The following is a 19,460-nucleotide window of genomic DNA, read 5'->3' as shown; positions in this document are numbered from 1 at the left end:
TACTTATGTACAAATACACCCTTACCTCCCTGAGGATATTTCTCATCTCCTTGGTGAATTATATGAACGTATTTGGATTTTCCAATATGGAAACATTTAAGTTCCTGGAATAAGTCCCACTCCTTTATAAATATATGAACAGTTGGGCACCCTATTGTCCCATTAGGATTCATGATTCTTCATTCAAATGTGAGATTACTTTATTCATATATATATATATATATATATATTTTTTTTTTTTTTTTGAGATGGAGTCTTGCTCTGTCGCCCAGGCTGGAGTGCAGTGGCGCGATCTCGGCTCACTGCAAGCTCCGCCTCCCGGGTTCAAGCGATTCTCCTGCATTAGCCTCCCGAGTACATGGGACTACAGGCATGCGTCACCACGCCCGGCTAATTTTTGTACTTTTAGCAGAGACAGGAATTCGCCATGTTGGCCAGGCTGGCCTCTAAGTCCTGACCTCAAGTGATCCGCCCGCCTTGTCCTCCCAAAGTGGTGGGATTACAGGCGTGAGCCACTGTGCCCGGCCTGGACGCTTCTGAAGCTCTAACTTCACGTCTCTTGGCCACAGGCAGGTGTTTTCCACGACCAAGTTGCTAACTGGAAGCGTAAGCGACAGCGTGAGGGGCGGGACTAGAAGGAAAGCTCCTCAGCACTTCCGGTTCTGGTTCTGAACTTAGCGTGTGTTCCAGATCTCCAAAGATATGCAGGTTCAACTTGCAGGCCCAGGCGGGCGAATCACCTGAGGTCAGGAGTTCGAGACCAGCCTGACCAACATGGAGAAACCCAGTCTCTACTAAAAATACAGAATTAGCCGGGCAGGGTCGTGCATGCCTGTAATCCCAGCTACCCGGGAGGCTGAGGCAGGAGAATCGCTTGAATCCGGGAGGCGGAGGTTGCAGTGAGCTGAGATCGCGCCATTTCACTCCAGCCTGGGCAACAAGAGCAAAACTCCGTCTCAAAACAAAAACAAAACTGGGTTTGACCCTGATATGTCAGGGAGCTAGAACTGAGCTGCAAATGGCCTCAGGATAGAACCTTGGAAGACGTGATTCAAATGCCCAAGGATAAGACACTCCTTCCCTCCACCCAAGGATCCCCTTTGGAACTCTGTAGAATTCCTTTTAGGTTCCAAACCACAGCATTCTCAGAGTTCTGACCCCAGGAACTTGGTGTGAACTTAGAGGGGCATTGCTGGTGCCCTGTGGCTTCCCTCAGGTTAAGTGGCTGCGGTGAGGGCAGCTATGACCCTGGCAAGTGCTTCCTAACTTTATAATGGGTTCCAAAAAAGTCTTGATGGGTCACGAGTCTTTGAGAAGTGGAAACTACTATTGTTGCAAACTAAACATCAAAGATTGGATGAGTTTTAATTTTTTCTTAGTTCATCAATGAGACTTTGCTTATTTTGTTTTCCGTTATTTAAAATTAGTAAACTTTACAATTTAAATGGAGCTGGGTTTTCACAAATGCATACTTGTACCACCATAATCAAGATACAAAACACTCTGTCACCCCTAAAAGCCTCCTTCTGCCCTTTTGGAGACAAACTGTCCTGTGACCCTTAATGCCTCATCTGGTTCTAAATTCCTATACTCTTGCTCTATCCAGAATGTCATATAAATGGATGCTTTTGAATACTCTGGTTAAAAACTAACGCTGGCCGGGCACGGTGGCTCACGCCTGTAATCCCAACATTTTCGGAGGCCGAGGTGGGTGGATCACCTGAGGTCAGGAGTTCGAGACCAGCCTGGCCTACATGGTGAAACCCTGTCTGTACTAAAAATACAAAATTAGCTGGGTGTGGTGGCATGCGCCTGTAACCCCAGCTACTTGGGAGGCTGAGGCAGGAGAATCACTTGAACCTGGGAGTTGGAGGTTGCAGTGAGCTGAGATCACGCCATTGCACCCCAGCCTGGGCAACAAGAGCAAAACTCCATCTCAAAACAAACAAACAACAACAACAACAAAACACCTAATGCCATACTTGGCAAACTGTGTAATTTTATTTTTTATCCAGAAGAAGATGACTTGTCTTGAAATATAAAAATTCGAACAGTGCCCAATACAGGTGGTAAGACACATCAGGCTTTCACTATGGAGACATTCCATTACTATTTTGGGATATGTAAGGTTAACCATGAGTCTGCTGCTTGTGATTAACTTGTCATTTTGAGGCAGGAGAATAGGGAATTAGGATAACCAGTTAAGGCATAAGCAAAGGAACAGCAGGTGCAGCCACTTCTAGGCAAGATTAGGCAGAAACAGGCCACATCCTCACTGCTGTGATAACAAGATAGAAGTCTCCACTTCAGACTCTGATTTGACAGGGCCAAGTCTCCACCTCAGCCTCTGATTGGCCATGGCCAAGTCTTCACTTCAGCCTCTGATTGGTTGCAGGCGAATCCTTCATAGGGGGTAACCAATTGGAGTTCTCTAAAGGGCACCTAGGGGTGTTACAAAATTCTTGTAGCCTTATAAAAACCCTAAAGAACATTGCAATCAGGGCTCTTGAGCTGCCCGCTAGGGCCGGCTCCCGCTCCGTGGAGTGTACTTTCATTTAAATAAATCTGCGCTGTCATTGCTTTGTGTGTTTTGTTCAATTCTTTGTTCAATGCGTCAAGAACCTGGACATCTCACAGTCAGCACTTTCCATCTGGTACCAATTTGTACAATGAGAGGAATGTAGGGAAGGAGTGATCAAATAAGCTAACTGTGATTGTGAAATGACACGAAGTCTTTGCAGTGCTATCAAGACTATTTTTTTTTTGAGGTGGAGTTTCGCTTTTGTTGCCCAGGCTGGAGTGCAGTGACGCCATCTCGGCTCGCTGCAACCTCCGCCTCCCGGGTTCAAGCAATTCTCCTGCCTCAACCTCCCAAGTAGCTGGGATTACAGGCACGCACCACCATGCCCAGCTAATTTTTGTATTTTTAGTAGAGACAGCGTTTCTCCATGTTGGTCAGGCTGGTCTCGAACTCCCGACCTCCGGTGATCTGCCCACCTCAGCCTCCCAAAGTGCTGGGATTACAGGCGTGAGCCACTGCGCCCGGCCCGCTATCAAGACTATTAACATTGAAAATGGACACAGACTGGATTTCATTTGCCTTTAATTAAACACAAAGCTGTTACATATTTTTCTCTTCTAATAGCTGCTGGAAGTCTAAGCATATGGAAACGATACCTATGAAAATCAAATGGACATTTTGGGCTTTGTGGATCATTAAAGGTTTACACTTAAAAATTATTTTTTAATTAAAAAAATAAAAATTAATTAAAGGATGACAAATACATTGGGATGTTACTCAAAATGATAATCCTGTCTGCAGCTCACTTCAGTTATTCCTTGACTAGTTCTCTCACCGTCCATAGATTTTATCCTCACCAGGAAATCATGGCACACTTGCCTAGATATCACTGTGCACATGGGAAAACACTCGCAACGGGCTACAACTGTGCAGATGACCATAACTCTTCCTCACCCTGTGAGGAACTCTAGTTTTCTGCAGAACACAATTTTTCCATCAGTGTGTAGGGGCAGCAAAGTGACAATGCCAAATATATAAGGCAATTTAAAATTATTTCACAAAGGTATTAAAAACAAACACCCACATTGTGGTTCAAATCCAGATGAAGTACCTGGTCCCAGATGCCAATGTCCAAACTCATAAAAACATATGACATGGGCCTGGTGCGGTGGCTCACGCCTGTAATCCCAGCTCTGCGGGAGGCCAAGGCGGGCAGATCACGAGGTGAAGAGATCGAGACCATCCTGGCCAACAAGGTGAAACCCCACCTGTACTAAAAATACAAAAAATTAGCTGGGCGTGGCGGGGCACGCCTGTATTCCCAGCCACTTGGGAGGGTGAGGCAGGAGAATCGCTTGAACCTGGGAGGTGGAGGTTGCAGTGAGCTGAGATCGCACCACTGCACTCCAGCCTGGCAACAGAGCAAAACTCCGTCACACACATTCACACACACACACACACACACACACACACACACACTATATATATATATATATAAAATGTATACATCATGCCCTAAAATTTTTAATATTTGCAGAAATGAGGCTGAACCATAAATATACCTTTTGTCTCTTTTTTTTTTTGAGACAGAGTCCCACTCAGTCGCCCAGGCTGGAGTGTAGTGGTTCGATCTCTGCTCACTGCAAGTTCCGCCTCCTGGGTTCACGCCATTCTCCTGCCTCAGCCTCCCGAGTAGCTGGGACTACAGGCACCTGCCACCACGCCCAGCTAATTTTTTGTATTTTTTACTAGAGACAGGGTTTCACCGGGTTAGCCAGGATGGTCTTGATCTCCTGACCTCGTGATCCACCCGCCTCAGCCTCCCAAAGTGCTGGGATTACAGGCGTGAGCCACCGCGCCCGGCCAGGGAAATAATTATTGTTTCTTTTTTTCTTTTTAATTTGACACACGGTCTCATTCTGTCACCCTGGCTGGAGTACAGTGGCAAGATAACTCATTGCAGCCTGGACCTCTTGGTCTCAAGCCATCCTCCACCCTCAGCCTCCTGAGTAGCTGGCTCTACAAGTGCACATCACCATGCCTAGATACTTTTAAAAATTTCTTTTTATAGAGACTGTGTCTCACTATGTGCCCAGACTGGCCTTGAACTCCTGTGCTCAAGTGATCCTCCTGCCTCAGCCTCCCGAAGCTTTGGAATTACAAGTGTGAGCCACTGCCCCTGGTCCTGCCGTTATTTCTGTATTACTGCTCACTATTTCCTAACTCATGAGCAGTTCTTGAAATAGTATTAAAAAAAAAGAAATAGTATTTAAGACATATTACATGGTGGAACTATAAATGAATTCATGATGAGATTGTCACTTACTGAAGCCCGATCCTTTATTCTGCATTCCCTATTATCTACCTTGTCAAGTTTGATACTATACTTTATTCTGCCTTGATATTATCCAAAAAAAAAATTTTTTTTTTTTTGAGATGGAGTCTTACTCTTGTCGCCCAGGCTGGAGTGCAGTGGCGCAATCTTGGCTCACTGCAACCTCTGCCTCCCGGGTTCAAGCGATTCTCCTGCCTCAGCCTCCCAAGTAGCTGGGATTACAGGCGCCTGCCACCACGCCTGGCCAATTTTTTGTATTTTTAGTAGAGACAAGGTTTCACCATGTTCACCATGTTGGCCAGCGTGGTCTCGAACTCCTCACATCAGGTGATCCACCCGCCTCGGTGGGTCCTGGGATTACAGGCGTGAGCCATTGCTACTGGGCTCCAATAAAGTTTAAACTTGTTTTATTAGTTATCTTTTTATGTCTTTTGCTAGACTTATTTAATACTTAAATTTATAAAACCGTTACGTAAGTTTTTGTCATTATGAATAAACAAGAATTTATTAGGCTGGGCGCGGTGGCTCACGCCTGTAACCCCAGCACTTTGGGAGGCCGAGGTGGGCAGATCACAAGGTCAGGAGATCGAGACCAGCCTGGCCAGCATAGTGAAACCCCGTCTCTACTAAAAATACAAAAATTAGCCGGGTGTGGTGGCGGGTGCCTGTAATCCCAGCTCTTCAGGAGGCTGAGGTAGGAGAATCACTTGAACCTTGGCGGGGGGGTTGCAGTGAGCCAAGATCACGGCACTGCACTCCAGCCTGGGTAACAGAGCGAGAATCTGTCTCAAAAAAAAAAAAAAGAATTTCTTAGACAAAATTATAACAGTATAGGAAACAAATGTACTAGAAAGAAAATGTCTAAATCTGAATGCATCTGGTAATATTAATTCAGAAGTATAATTCTTTTTTTTGAGACGGAGTCTCGCTCTGTCACCCAGGCTGGAGTGCAGTGTCGCAATCTTGGCAAGCTCCGCCTCCCAGGTTCAAGCCATTCTCCTTCCTCAGCCTCCCGAGTAGCTGGGACTACAGGCACCTACCAGCACACCCCACTAATATTTTGTATTTTTAGTAGAGATGGGGTTTCACCGTGTTAGCCAGGATGGTCTCGATCTCTTGACCTCATGATCTGCCCGCCTTGGCCTCCCCAAAGTGCTGGGATTACAGGCGTGAGCCACTGTGCCTGGCCCAGAAGTATCATTTTTAAAGTCACCATGTTGATTTGGCAATTTTCAATATTTTAATACATTCTCCCAGTAAATAAAAAACAGAGATTGACATTTGTTAGTATACAACTTATTTGAAAAACTCAGTTAAATAGGCTATTTCTAAGAAACATTTTATCCATTTGTATAGAATCCAACTTCTTTAAAAACACAAACACAGTAAATAGATATTTCTCAGAAACAGAAACTTTTGTTTTAATAATACATAATCAAACATAATAACTGAACACATACTGAGAGATTGTATTCAGCTCTATGTGACAGGAAATTTCCAGAGTTTACCTGATAAGCCAGTATTGTCTTTCATTTTCTCATGAAAGGTAAGATTTATCTCACGAAGAATACTAGGTCACAGTAGATGCAGTAGGGAAACAATCCCCTGTGCTTTTTTAAAAAATTATTCTTTATTTATTTATTTTTGAGACAGAGTCTCGCTCTTTCGCCCAGGCTGGAGTACAGTGGCACGATTCCAGCTCACTGCAAGCTTCGCCTCCCAGGTTCACGCCATCCTCCTGCCTCAGCCTCCCGAGTAGCTGGGACTACAGGCGCCCGCCACCACACCTGGCTAATTTTTTGTATTTTTAGTAGAGACGGGGTTTCACCATGATAGCCAGGATGGTCTCGATTTCCTGACCTCGTGATCCGCCCACCTCAGCCTCCCAAAGTGCTGGGATTACAGGCGTGAGTCACCGCGCCCAGCCGCAATCCCCTGTGTTTTTATGGTTGTACCATTGTATCTGTCATGGAAGCAGGAACACAGAAGCACAAGAAATACTGAGACAATGAGGTATTAAGATAATGATAATATGGCCAGGCATAGTGGCTCACACCTGTAATCCCAGCACTTTGGGAGGCCAAGGCGGGCAGATTTCAGGAGTTTGAGACCACCCTGGCCAACATGGTGAAACCCCGTCTCTACTAAAAATACAAAAATTAGCTGGACATGGTGGTGCATGCCTATAGTCCCAGCTACTTGGGAGGCTGAGGCAGGAGAATCGCTTGAAACCGGGAGGCGGAAGTTGCAGTGAGCCGAGATCGTGCCGTTGCACTCCAGCTTGGGCAACATAACAGGACTCTGTCTCAAAAAAGAAAAAGAAAAAAAACCCAAAAAAACCTATTTTCCAATTCCAACCCAGAAGCCAGGTCAAAGAGCAAACAGCAACAGATGAAAAAAATAGTTCCCACGAGACTACACTCCTCCAAGAATTTGCATGCATACGTATTTCTACCAACTACCTATTAGTCCACAAGCAAAATGAAGAAGGATTCTCTGACCAATAGCATAAAGCCACTGAATTACTTGCCTGTATAAGTAGAAAGTATTAACATTAAAAATAGTTTTTCCCTGTAAAATGGAAAGGTGGAATAAAAGTAACATGGTAGTAATATCCAGCTTGGAACACACAGGGCCAGTCAGAAAATGTCAACAAACACCCATATTTCATTGGTCTAATGGCCTCACACGGAGTAACAAAAAAAATATATAAAAATTAAAGTTAATGCATATTAAAATACATCAGATCACCCATGGGTGCAATACACTTCTAAATGAAAAGAGAAACATTAGTAATTTATAAGAAAAAACCATTATGTATCAAAATTTCAGTACTATAGGTGAGAGAGGACTTACAGGATTCTCCCCTCAACTTTACCTGCAAGAGAACTGCAAATTCATTTGCTAGAGGCCCACTTTTAGGATGTGGTCCTGATAAAGGCAATACCATATTTATAAACGTCATGAGATTCTTCTCCTGCCATGAATTTTCTTTTTTTGGAGATGGAGTCTCGCTCTGTCACCCAGGCTGGAGTGCAGTGGTGCCATCTCGGCTCACTGCAAGCTCCGCCTCCCGGGTTCACGCCGTTCTCCTGCCTCAGCCTCCTGAGCAGCTGGGACTACAGGTGCCCGCCACCACGCCCGGCTAATTTTTTGTATTTTTTTTTTTTTTAGTAGAGACGGGGTTTCACCATAGCCAGGATGGTCTTGATCTCCTGACCTCGTGATCCGCCTGCCTCGGCCTCCCAAAGTGCTGGGATTACAGGCGTGAGCCACTGCGCCCGGCCCTCCTGCTGTGAATTTTCTGAACCATGTATGTGAATTAATTTGCACAGGTTTTCCCCCATTACTTAGATGTACAGGATTTCTTTCCTGTGTGACTTCTCACATGACCTTGAAAGGCTTTGGGACAACTGAAAGCTTTCCCACATTTTTCGCATTTACTGGGCTTCTGTCCAATCTGCGTTCTTACATTTTTGGAAGAGCAAAGCCCGCCTGAAGGTTTTCCCACACTGGCTGCATTTACAGGTTTCTCCCCAGTGTGCTTTCTCTCATGTTTGTGTAAAGATGAGGACCAACCATACGTTTTCCCACACGTTTCACATTTATAGACTTTCTCTCTAGTTTGTGATTTGACATCTGTGGAGGGGCGAGGCCTCGCGGAAGACTTTCCCACGCTGCCCCCACTCACAGGTTTCTTTTTAGCATGCGTTCTCGCGTGTTTGTGTAAGGATGAGGGCCAACCGAATGCTTTCCCGCATTTTCCACACTTATAGGGTTTCTCCCCGTTGTGAATTCTCACGTGTCGTTGAAAGGATGTTGCCCAGCAGTAGGCTTTCCCACACTGCTTGCACTCATACGGTCTCCCTCCGGCGTGCATGATCATATGGACTCGAAAGGATTTCTGACACCTGAAGGCTTTCCCACAGTGCTTGCACTCATACGGTCTCCCTCCGGCGTGCATCATCACATGTGCGCGAAAGGATTTGGGACAACTGAAGCCTTTCCCACACTGCCCACATTCGTAGGGTTTCTCTCCAGTGTGAGTCCTTACATGTTCAGTGAGAGAGTGGGAACGAAGAAATGTCTTCCCGCAAGATTGACAGGCATAGGGTTTCTCTCCACTGTGAGTTTTCTCATGCGTCTGTAGGTAGGAAGGGCGACTGAAGGCTTTCCCACATTCCTTACATTTATATAATTTTTGTCCAGAGTGAGCTCTTTTGTGCCTTATCAGGGATGAGGAATGGGTGAAGAGTTTTCCACACTGACTGCATTCGTACCGTCTTACACTAGTACAACAATTCTTGCGCAGATGACGATTACAATTTCGAGTCTTTCTGAAGGTTCTTCCACGTTTATTACCTTTACTGCTTTTACATGGTCTCTCCACCCTTGGATTTCTGCTAAAAATGGGTAGCACATTATTAATGGTTTATGCCTTAATAATTTCTTTTTTTTTTTCCTTGAGATGGAGTTTTGCTCTTGTTCCCCAGGCTGGAGTGCAGTGGCATGATCTTGGCTCACTGCAACCTCTGCCTCCCAGGTTCAAACAATTCTGTCTCAGCCTCCTGAGCAGCTGGGATTACAGTCACATGGCACCACGCCCAGCTAATTTTTGTATTTTTGGTAGAGACAGGGTTTCACCATATTGGTCAGGCTGGTCACAAACTCCTCACCACAGGTGACCCACCTACCTTGGCCTCTCAAAGTGCTGGGATTACAGGCATAAGCCACTGCACCGGCCAATTATTTCTTAATATATATTAATGAATATTAGGATAACATTTTTGCCATTTTCTATACAAGGGTAAGTTTCCTGTACTGTTGAAATTATTTCAAACTAGAATAAACGAAATACTCTGGTAGATAGTTCAACCACAGTCCATTACAAAAACAATAGTAATATGTGGGGCTCTCTGATAATTGTTTCTAACAGAATTATCATTTTTTTTTTTTGAGATAGAGTCTCACTCTGTTGCCCAGCCCAGGCTGGAGTGCAGTGGCACGATCTTGGCTTGCTGCAACCTCCGCCTCCTGGGTTCAAGCAATTCTCCTGTCTCAGCCTCCTGAGCAGCTAGGATTACAGCCACATGCCACCACGCCTATTTTTGTATTTTTAGTAGAGACAGGGTTTCACCATGTCGGTCAGGCTGGTCACAAACTCCTCACCCCAGGTGATCCGCCTCCCTCGGCCTCCCAAAGTGCTGGGATTACAGGTGTGAGCCACCGCGCCCATTTTTGTATTTTTAGTAGAGACAAGGTTTCACCATATGGGTCAGGCTGGTCACAAACTCCTCACCCCAGGTGATCCGCCTCCCTTGGCCTCCCGAAGTGCTGGGATTACAGGCATGAGCCACCGTGCCTGGCGATACTGCCTTTTTCTTCTAAGTACAACTCACCTCAAATGTCTCTCCTTGGTGTTGTGCTTGTCTTTAACGCTATGTTCTTCCCAATTTTTTCCTAAAAGGGAGGCCCATATATTCTTTCTTGTGAACTTTTCTATTTTCTGTTTGAGGGATAATTTTTCTCCAGAAGTATCCTGCTGAGAAATAGACCCACTGGCTTTAAGCTGAGCCTCATTATCTGAAACAAAAAAGTGAACCAATATGATGAGGAAGGCATCTGCAAAGAAAGAAGTAATTCAGGTGTTTAATTGTTTCATGACTTCATTATGTGATTTTATTTTATTTATCTATTTATTTATTTATTTTTGAGACGGAGTCTCACTCTGTCGCCCAGGCTGGAGTGCAGCGGCGCGATCTCGGCTCACTGCAAACTCTGCCTCCCGGGTTCAAGCGATTCTCCTGTCTCAGCCTCCCAAGTAGCTGGGATTACAGGTGCGTGCCACCATGCCCAGCTAATTTTTTTTATTTTTAGTAGAGACGGGGTTTCACCATATTGGCCAGGCTGGTCTTGATCTCCTGACCTTGTGATTCGCCTGCCTTGGCCTCCCAAAGTGCTGGGATTACAGGTGTGAGCCACTGTGCCCGGCCTGACTTCATTATGAAGAAGTACAAGAGCTCTCCTTCTGCCATCTTGGAGCCTGTGGAGGCCTGCAGGGAACACGACTCCCAAAAGAAAATGTGTCTGGAAGGTGGTGGTCCAAGGCCATTTTGGCTGCCTATAAGCAGGGTCTCCAGAACCAAAGGGAGCACACAGTTCTTCTTAAAATTGAAGGTGTTTGGCCGGGCGCAGTGGCTCACGCCTGTAATCCTGGCACTTTGGGAGGCCGAGGCGGGCGGATCACGAGGTCAGGGGATGGAGACCATCCTGGCTAACATGGTGAAACCCTGTCTCTACTAAAAATACAAAAAATTAGCCGGGCGTGGTGGCGGGCGCCTGTAGTCCCAGCTACTCGGGAGGCTGAGGCAGGAGAATGGCGTGAACCTGAGACACAGAGCTTGCAGTGAGCCGAGATCGTGCCACTGCACTCCAGCCTGGGCGACAGAGCAGGATTCTGTCTCAAAATAATAATAATAGTAATAATTGAAGGTGTTTATGTTCAAGATGAAACTGAATTCTATTTGGGTAAGAGACATGCTTATGTATACAAAGCAAACAACAACACAGTAACTCCTGGTGGCAAACCAAACCAAACCAGAATCATCTGAGGGAAGGGCATTCAGGCCCACAGAAACAGTGGCATGATTCATGCCAAATTCTGAAGCAATCTTCCTGCTAAGACCACTGGACACAGAGTCCCTGTGATGCTGTCCCTCTCAAGGATTTCAACTAATGAGAAGCAAAAAAAAAAAAAAAAAAGTACAAGCAGTCAAAATGGTAGACAATTTTAAATACACAGAAAAATCATCACAAGGTTTCAAACAATTAACCTCTCTGTGCCGCCAGTATATACCTGCGCTGGTAACACAAAAGGACCCTAAGTCTTTTCTTTTTCTTTCTTTCTTTCTTTCTTTTTTTTTTTTTTTTTTGAGACAGAGTCTTACTCTGTCACCCAGGCTGGAGTGCAGTGATACAATCTCGACTCACTGCAGCCACTGCCTCCCGAGTTCAAGGGATTCTGCTGCCTCAGCCTCCCAAGTAGCTGGGACTAAAGGTGCCCTCCGCCACACCTGGCTAATTTTTTGTATTTTTAGTAGAGACAGGGTTTCACTATGTTAGCCAGGATGGTATCAAACTCCTGACCTCGTGATCCGCCCGCCTCGGCCTCCCAAAGTGCTGGTATTACAGGCATGAGCCACCGCGCCTGGCTGATCCTAAGTCTTTTCAACAAGGCAGAAAGAAAAGTACAGATTGATAGGTAGATTTTTATTATCACAGAGAAGCTACTGAATTTTAGGTCCAGGACATCAATGATTATAACTGTCTTATTAACCAATGTATTCCCCTTCTGCATTCTAAATCTTAGAATAGGCTTAATGAGCAAGAAATATTTATTTATTTATTTATTTATTTTTTGAGACGGAGTCTCACTCTATGGCCCAGGCTAGAGTGCAGTGGCATGATCTTGGCTCACTGCAACCTCTGCCTCCCGGGTTCAAGCAATTCTCCTGCCTCAGCCTCCCGAGTAGCTGGGATTACAGGCACGCACCACCATGCCCAGCTAATTTTTTGTATTTTAGTAGAGATGGCATTTCACCGTGTTGCCCAGGCTGGTCTCGAACTCCTGAGCTCAGGCAATCCACCCGCCTTGGCCTCCCAAAGTGCTGAGATGACAGGCGTGAGCCACCGTGCCTGGCTCTTTTTTCTTTTTTATTTGAGACAGGGTCTCAAGTTGTCACCCTGGCTGGAGTACAGTGGTGTGATCATGGGTCACTGTAGCCTTGAACTCCTGGTCTCAAGCGATTCTCCTGCCTCAGCCTCTCAAGTAGCTAGGACTACAGGAGCATGCTACCACACCGGGCTAATTTTTGATTTTTTTTTTGTAGAGACAAGGTCTCACTATGTTGCCCAGGCTGGTTGTCAACTCCTAGCCTCAAGTGATCCTCCTGCCTTAGCCTCCTAAAGCACTGGGAATACAGGCATGAACCACTGCAACCAGACAAAACATTTATTATCTAATAACTAAGTGCAGAAATAATGCTATCCTCACCTACTGAGGCCAGGTGCTTGAAGGTCTCCAGCATGACATCTCTGTAGAGTTTTCTCTGAGCAGGATTCAGCAAGGCCCACTCCTCCAGCGTGAAATCCACAACCACGTCTTCAAAGACCACTGTGTCCTAAAACAAACCACATATGTGTACATGAGGATGGGGTAAAACTCACAGCACTGCGGAACTGAACTCAGTTCATAGGACACTCACACAAGATCCTGCAGTCTGCCAATATCTATTTAAGACTCAGTCCTCAGACCTCTTCCCCTCTGTCTGTAATCACTTCCTGTGTCGTAGGTTTTTTTGTCTTTGACAAATAAAAGTTGTATACATTTAAGGTGTAGGTGATGATTTGATACACATATACACTGGGAAATGACTGCCATGAAGTTAATTAACACATCTGTTACCAGTTACCTTTTTAAAAAATCTGATGGTAAGAACAAGTAAGATTTACACTCTTAGTACATTTCATTTTTTTTTTTTTTGAGACGGAGTCTTGCTCTGTCGCCCCAGGCTGGAGTGCAGTAGGGCGATCTCGGCTCACTGCAAGCTGCGCCTCCTGGGTTCAAGCGATTGTCCTGCCTCAGTCTCCCAAGTAGCTGGGATTACAGATGCACACCAACATGCCTGGATAATTTTTATATTTTTAGTAGAGATGGGGTTTCACCATGTTGGCCAGGCTGCACTTGAACTCCTGACCTCAAGTAATCCAGCTGTCTTGGCCTCCCAAAATGCTGGGATTACAGGCGTGAGCCACCACACCCGGCCTTTTAGTATATTTCTTTTTTTTTTTTTTTTTTGAGATGGAGTCTCGCTCTGTCACCCAGACTGGAGTGCAGTGGCGCGATCCCGGCTCATTGCAACCTCCACCTCCCGGGTTCAAGCAATTCTCCTGCCTCAGCCTCCTGAGTAGCTGGGATTACAGGTGCCCGCCACCACACCTGTGGGCAGCAAGCCACCCAGGTGCCGAGGCAAGAGACCGAGGACATGAGCTGTTCCAGTATAATAAAATATCAAGTAAGAATAGTTATACCAGATATAGATCTTAGATATGATTATATATGAATATAATTAATCATCAGTTAGTAGTACTTACTCTTTATTCCAATATTATAATAATCCTCGCTCTATAATCATAACCTAGGAAAAACCAGGCCATACAGAGATAGGAGCTGAGGGGACATAGTGAGGAGTGACCAGAAGACAAGAGTGCGAGCCTTCTGTTATGCCCAGACAGGGCCACCAGAGGGCTCCTTGGTCTAGCGGTAACGCCAGCGTCTGGGAAGACGCCTGTTGCCAAGTGAACCGTGGTCTAGCGGTAGCGTAAGTGTCAAGGAAAAACACCCGCTACTTAGCAGACCAGGAAAGGGGAGTCTCCCTTCCCCCGGGGGAGTTTAGAGAAGACTCTACTCCTCCACCTCTTGTGGAGGGCCTGACATCAGTCAGGCCCGCCCGCAGTTATCCCGAGGCCTAACCGCCTCCCTGTGATACTGTGCTTCAGTGGTCACGCTCCTAGTCCGCTTTCATGTTCCATCCTGTACACCTGGCTCTGCCTTCTAGATAGCAGTAGCAAATTAGTGAAAGTACTAAAAGTCTCTGATAAGCAGAAATAATGGCATAAGCTGTCTCACTCTCTGTCTCCTCTCTCTCTCTGCCTCGGCTGCCACGCAGGGAAGGGCCCCCTGTCCAGTGGACATGTGACCCATGCATCCTTACCTATCATTGGAGATGGCTCACACTCCTTATCCTGCCCGTTTGTCTTGTATCCAATAAATATCAGTGCAGCCTGGCATTCGGGGCCACTACCGGTCTCTGCGACTTGGTGGTTGTGGTCCCCCGGGCCCAGCTGTCTTTTATCTCTTTGTCTTGTGTCTTTATTTCTACGCTCTCTTGTCTCTGCACATGGGGAGAAACCCACCGACCCTGTGGGGCTGGTCCCTATACATGCCCAACTAATTTTTGTATTTTTAGTAGAGATGGGGTTTCACCATGTTGGTCAGGCTGGTCTCGAACCCCTGGCCTCGTGATCCACCCACCTCAGCCTCCCAAAGTGCTGGGATTACAGGCGTGAACCACCGCACCAGGCCCAGTGTATTTCAAGTATACATTACAGTATCCTTAAATACAGTCACCATTTGGACACTGGATGTAGAGAATTTATTCACCTTACAATGGAAAGTTGGTTCACTTTGACCAACATCTCTCCCCACTTCCCCTGTCCCTCAGCCGCAGGCAATCACTCTTCTACTCTCTTCCTCTAGGAATCTGGTTCTTTTTGATTCTTCATGTAAGTAAGATCATCCGGTATTCATCTTTCTATGCCTGGTTTGTCTCACATAGCATAATGTGCCCCAGGTTCATCAGTGCTGTCACCAATGGCAGGATTTCCTTCTTTATTATGACTGAATAACATTTAACTGTATATATGTGTATGTCATATACTTTTTTTTTTCTTGAGACGGCATCTCACTCTGTCGCCCAGGCTGGAGTGCAGTGGCGTGATCTCAGCTCACTGCAACCTCTGTGTTTTCATATATTCTTTATCCTGTGTCATAGTCTTTAGAATTTTTTTTTTTTTTTGAGATAGAGTCTCGCTCTGTCACCTAGGCTGGAGTGCAATGGTGCGATCTCGGCTCACTGCAACCTCCACCTCCAAGGTTCAAGTGATCCTCCCGCCTCAGCCTCCCGAGTAGCTGGGATTACAGGCACACATCACCATGCCTGGCTAATTTTTTGTATTTTTAGTAGAGACAGGGTTTCACCGTGTTAGCCAGGATAGTCTCGATCTCCTGACCTTGTGATCCACCTGCCTCGGCCTCCCAAAGTGCTGGGATTACAGGTGTGAGCCATCGCGCCCGGCCTTTTTTTTTTTGAGATGGAGTCTCACTCTGTCGCCCAGGCTGGAGTGCAATGGCATGATCTCGGCTCACTGCAAACTCCACCTTCAGAGTTCAAGCGATTCTCCTGCCTCAGCCTCCCGAGTAGCTGGGATTACAGGCGTGTGCCACCACGTCCAACTGATTTTTGTATTTTTAGTAGAGATGAGGTTTCACCATGTTAGCCAGGCTGGTCTCAAACTCCTGACCTCAAGTGATCTGCCTGCCTCGGCCTCCCAAAGTGCTGGGATTACAGGCGTGAGCCATCGTGCCTGGCCAGAAAATTTTTTAGAGACAAGGTCTCACTCTGCTGTGCAGGCTGGAGTGCAATGGCGCAATGAGAACTCGCCGCAGCCTTGAACTCCTGGGCTCAAGCCATCCTCCTGCTTCCCAACTAACTGGGATTACAGGTGTGTGCCGCCATGCCTGGCTAATTTTTATTATTATTATTATTTTTTAGTAGACTCAGGGTTTTACCATGTTGGTCAGGCTGGTCTCGAACTCCTGACCTCAACTGATCCACCTGCCTCGGCCTCCCAAAGTGCTGGGATTACAGGCATGGGGGCCCAACCCAAAATAGTAAAATGTCATCTGTTCCCTGAAATTAGCGACAAGAGAAGCTTTCAGATGTGATCCAATTTAAATTAATCATGGCGAATGTAGTATACAATGAAAAAATATAGAAAGGAGAAAATTGTTCTGGGTGGGAGAAACAGCCAGAGGTTAGGCCCTATGGAAGGAGCGGGTCTTGGCTCTTTCAGGCACAGCCAGAGCCTGTGTGACTGGACAGAGGGGAATGGGGAGTGACAGCCAAGGGGGGTCGAGTGACAGGAAGTGAGGCACATCACTTTGTGGGGAACTCATCAGCCACAGTAAGGACTTTGGCTCTGAGTGACTCCTCCAGGCCTTTGCACAGAGCAGTGATCTCATCTGACAGCTGAGACTAGATCATAGGGGACACATACAGACACCGGGACACCAGTTAGGAGGCGAAAGCCGCACTAGATGAGAAGTAGGCGTGTCAGCTTGGGTGTCACAGTGCAGTCCTGTGCAAGAGCAGCATAAGAGGAGATCTAGGCCGGGCGCGGTGGCTCACGCCTGTTAATCCCAGCACTTTGGGAGGCCGAGGTGGGCGGATCATGAGGTCAGGAGATTGAGACCATCCTGGCTGACAAGGTGAAACCCCGTCTCCACTAAAGTACAAAAAAATTAGCCAGGCGTGGTGGAGGGCACCTGTAGTCCCAGCTACCCAGGAGGCTGAGGCAGGAGAATGGCATGAACCCGGGAGGCGGAGCTTGCAGTGAGCTGAGATCGCGCCACTGCACTCCAGCGTCGGTGACAGAGCAAGACTCCGTCTCAAAAAATAAAAAATTTAAAAAAAGAGGAGATATAAAATTTCCTCATGGGCTCAAGGTGGGGCAAGACAGAGCAGGAAGAATCAAGGAAGACTAATTATTTCACACAGGAAAGCTGGAATAATGGAGTTACCAGCAACTGAGATGTAGGCGGTAATATGTGGACCAGGCTCTTGGGGAGAGGATGAGGATATACTGCAGTGCAGCTGAGAATAAGGCATTCAAGTGGACACACATGTAATAATGTCTTTAGGGGCACTGGTCACAATGGAAAAAATTTGAAAATACCCGAATAGTCACTAGCAAGCAGTGGAATTAATGAACACTAACAATATATCCCTATGAGTGAATATAAAAGAGTGATAAAGGGGCCAGGTGTGGTGGCTCACGCCTGTAATCCCAGCACTTTGGGAGGCTGAGGTGGGTGGATCAGCTGAGGTCAGGAGTTCGAGACCAGCCTGGCCAACATGGTGGAACCCCGTCTCTACTAAAAATACAAAAATTAGCTGGGTGTGGCCACACGTGCCTGTAATCCCAGCTATTCGGGAGGCTGAGGTAGGAGAATCGCTTGAACCCAGGAGGCGGAGGTTGCAGTAAGCAGAGATCGCGCCATTGCACTCCAGCCTGGGTGACAGAGCGAGGCTCCATCTGAAAAAAAAAAAAAAATTAGCTAGTCATGGTGGCACATGCTGCCTGTAATCCAAGCATTCTGGGAGGCCAAGGCGGGTGGATCACCTGAGGTCAGGAGTTGGAGACCAGCTTGGCCAACATGGTAAAACCCTGTCTCCACTAAAAATACAAAAATTAGCTGGACGTGGTGGCACACACCTGTAGTCCCAGCTGCTGGGGAGGCTGAGGCAGGAGAATCAATCGCTTGAACTCAGGAGGCGGAGGTTGCAGTGAGCCGAGATCGCGCCACTGCACTCCAGCCTGGGTGACAGAGCAAGACTCCGTTTCAAAAAATAAAAACAAAAAATAAAAGAACAGAATTATCATCTATCACAAATTCTCCATCCTGGAAAAGGAGAATAACTGATATTTTAGCGAGTTTTTGTAATTCACCAAATTATATACCAAACATTTTTTTCTTGTAGGAATGTATTCATTTCGGGGCGTGTCATAATAAAAGAGAGATTTTCTCTCTTTCTCTGCGATTCTTTTTCCCGGGAGCCCCGTCAAGGGCTAAGCCCTGGAATCCCATTTGTCATCACCGAAAATAAAACAACAGATGTGAGAAACTTAACCACACGGGCAAAAAAGGAACAGAAAATAAAAAGAAAAAAAAAAGGCACGCTAGAATTTTTAACAAATGGAATGTAAGACGAGAACTTTATTTTTTTCTGAAATTCACCTCCTTGGAAATATTTTATCTTTCAAACTCTATTATTTACTGTATGTTCCATTGACTGAAAAAATCTGAGGCTCAAGTAACCAAATCAATCTTTAGAAGGAGAGAGGCCCAGGCAGGGGCGGCTGGGCTGGAGTCCGGCCTGCGGGCCTTTGGGGTCAGGCCAGCCCGTGCCGCCACGTGGAGCGCCCGCACCACCTGTCCACCCCTCGCCCCTCCCAGGGACGTGGGCCTGGGCCCAAAGTCTGCATCCAAAGCGCATTCTGCTTTGGGGCTGTTGCACCGCCTCGCTGGGGTGAGGTTTTTTTTTTTTTTGTTTTGTTTTTTGTACTTTGGGTTAGTTTTTCTTCCAATTAACTTCGCGAGACCCCACAGGGCAGGAGTCATTTCTGCCTTTTTTTCCCCTCCATCCCAGCGTCCTGACAACTACGACTTTCCAGGGAATGAAGACTGGGGCAGGGGAGGAAACTCCCCGCAGGACCCGGGGGTGACACAGGGACAGAGGCTGCATGGGGGTTCCGGGCGGCTCCCCCGGGAGTTTCAGCGTGTTCTGGCCGCTTCCAACCCTCCCCTCCCAGGGCTCCGGCTCCGGCTCGGCTCCTGCCCTGCACTCACCATGTCCTGTCCGTTCCTGAGCTCTTTGAGGAGCTCCCTGCTCCTCGCAGCCGGTGCAGGTGAGCACGACGGGGACACCTGTGGTCACTCAGGGCAGGCCGGGTGTGCTCTGCAGGGAGGACAGCAACGCCCCGCCCCTGGGGCTGTGATTGGATGGTTCTCTTCTCTGCTCATCTCTGATTGGAGAGTTCACCAGTCACATCCCAACTCCCCTGATTGGACAGTTCTTTAGACTCTGCCCCTCCTCTTCTGGTTGGTCAGCTTGCTATCCCCTGAGCTCCCCTGATTGGGCAGTTCTTCAGGCCCCACCCCAGCTTTCCTAATTGGTCATGTTTCCACGCCCTGCCTCAGCT

General features: G+C 46.8%; 1 protein-coding gene and 1 pseudogene across 3 annotated transcripts; one reads left to right on the top strand and one right to left on the bottom strand.

Annotated features, from left to right (window-relative positions):
* Positions 1-3,086: 3,086 nt before the first annotated feature.
* On the bottom strand, positions 3,087-19,197 carry ZNF556 (zinc finger protein 556). 3 transcript variants are annotated; one of them, NR_145838.2, is made up of 4 exons: positions 19,108-19,197; positions 12,914-13,036; positions 10,256-10,439; positions 3,087-9,259 (listed from the first exon to the last, which is right to left on the bottom strand). NR_145838.2 is itself a non-coding variant. In NM_024967.3 (4 exons), the coding sequence occupies exons 1-4, from the start codon at positions 19,108-19,110 to the stop codon at positions 8,203-8,205; spliced, it is 1,371 nt and encodes a 456-aa protein (NP_079243.1). In that variant the 5' UTR covers positions 19,111-19,197; the 3' UTR covers positions 3,087-8,202. The 3 variants fall into 3 exon arrangements, 2 of the variants coding, with proteins under 2 accessions (NP_079243.1, NP_001287772.1); NM_024967.3 differs by having other exon boundaries at positions 12,910-13,036; NM_001300843.2 differs by having other exon boundaries at positions 8,015-9,256; positions 12,910-13,036.
* On the top strand, positions 10,463-11,724 carry RPL35AP38 (ribosomal protein L35a pseudogene 38; annotated as a pseudogene).
* Positions 19,198-19,460: the final 263 nt, after the last annotated feature.

This window comes from Homo sapiens, chromosome 19 (genome assembly GCF_000001405.40).
Source record: "Homo sapiens chromosome 19, GRCh38.p14 Primary Assembly".
NCBI classification, from domain to species: Eukaryota; Metazoa; Chordata; class Mammalia; order Primates; family Hominidae; genus Homo; species Homo sapiens.
This window is presented reverse-complemented; position numbering and strand designations above follow the sequence as displayed.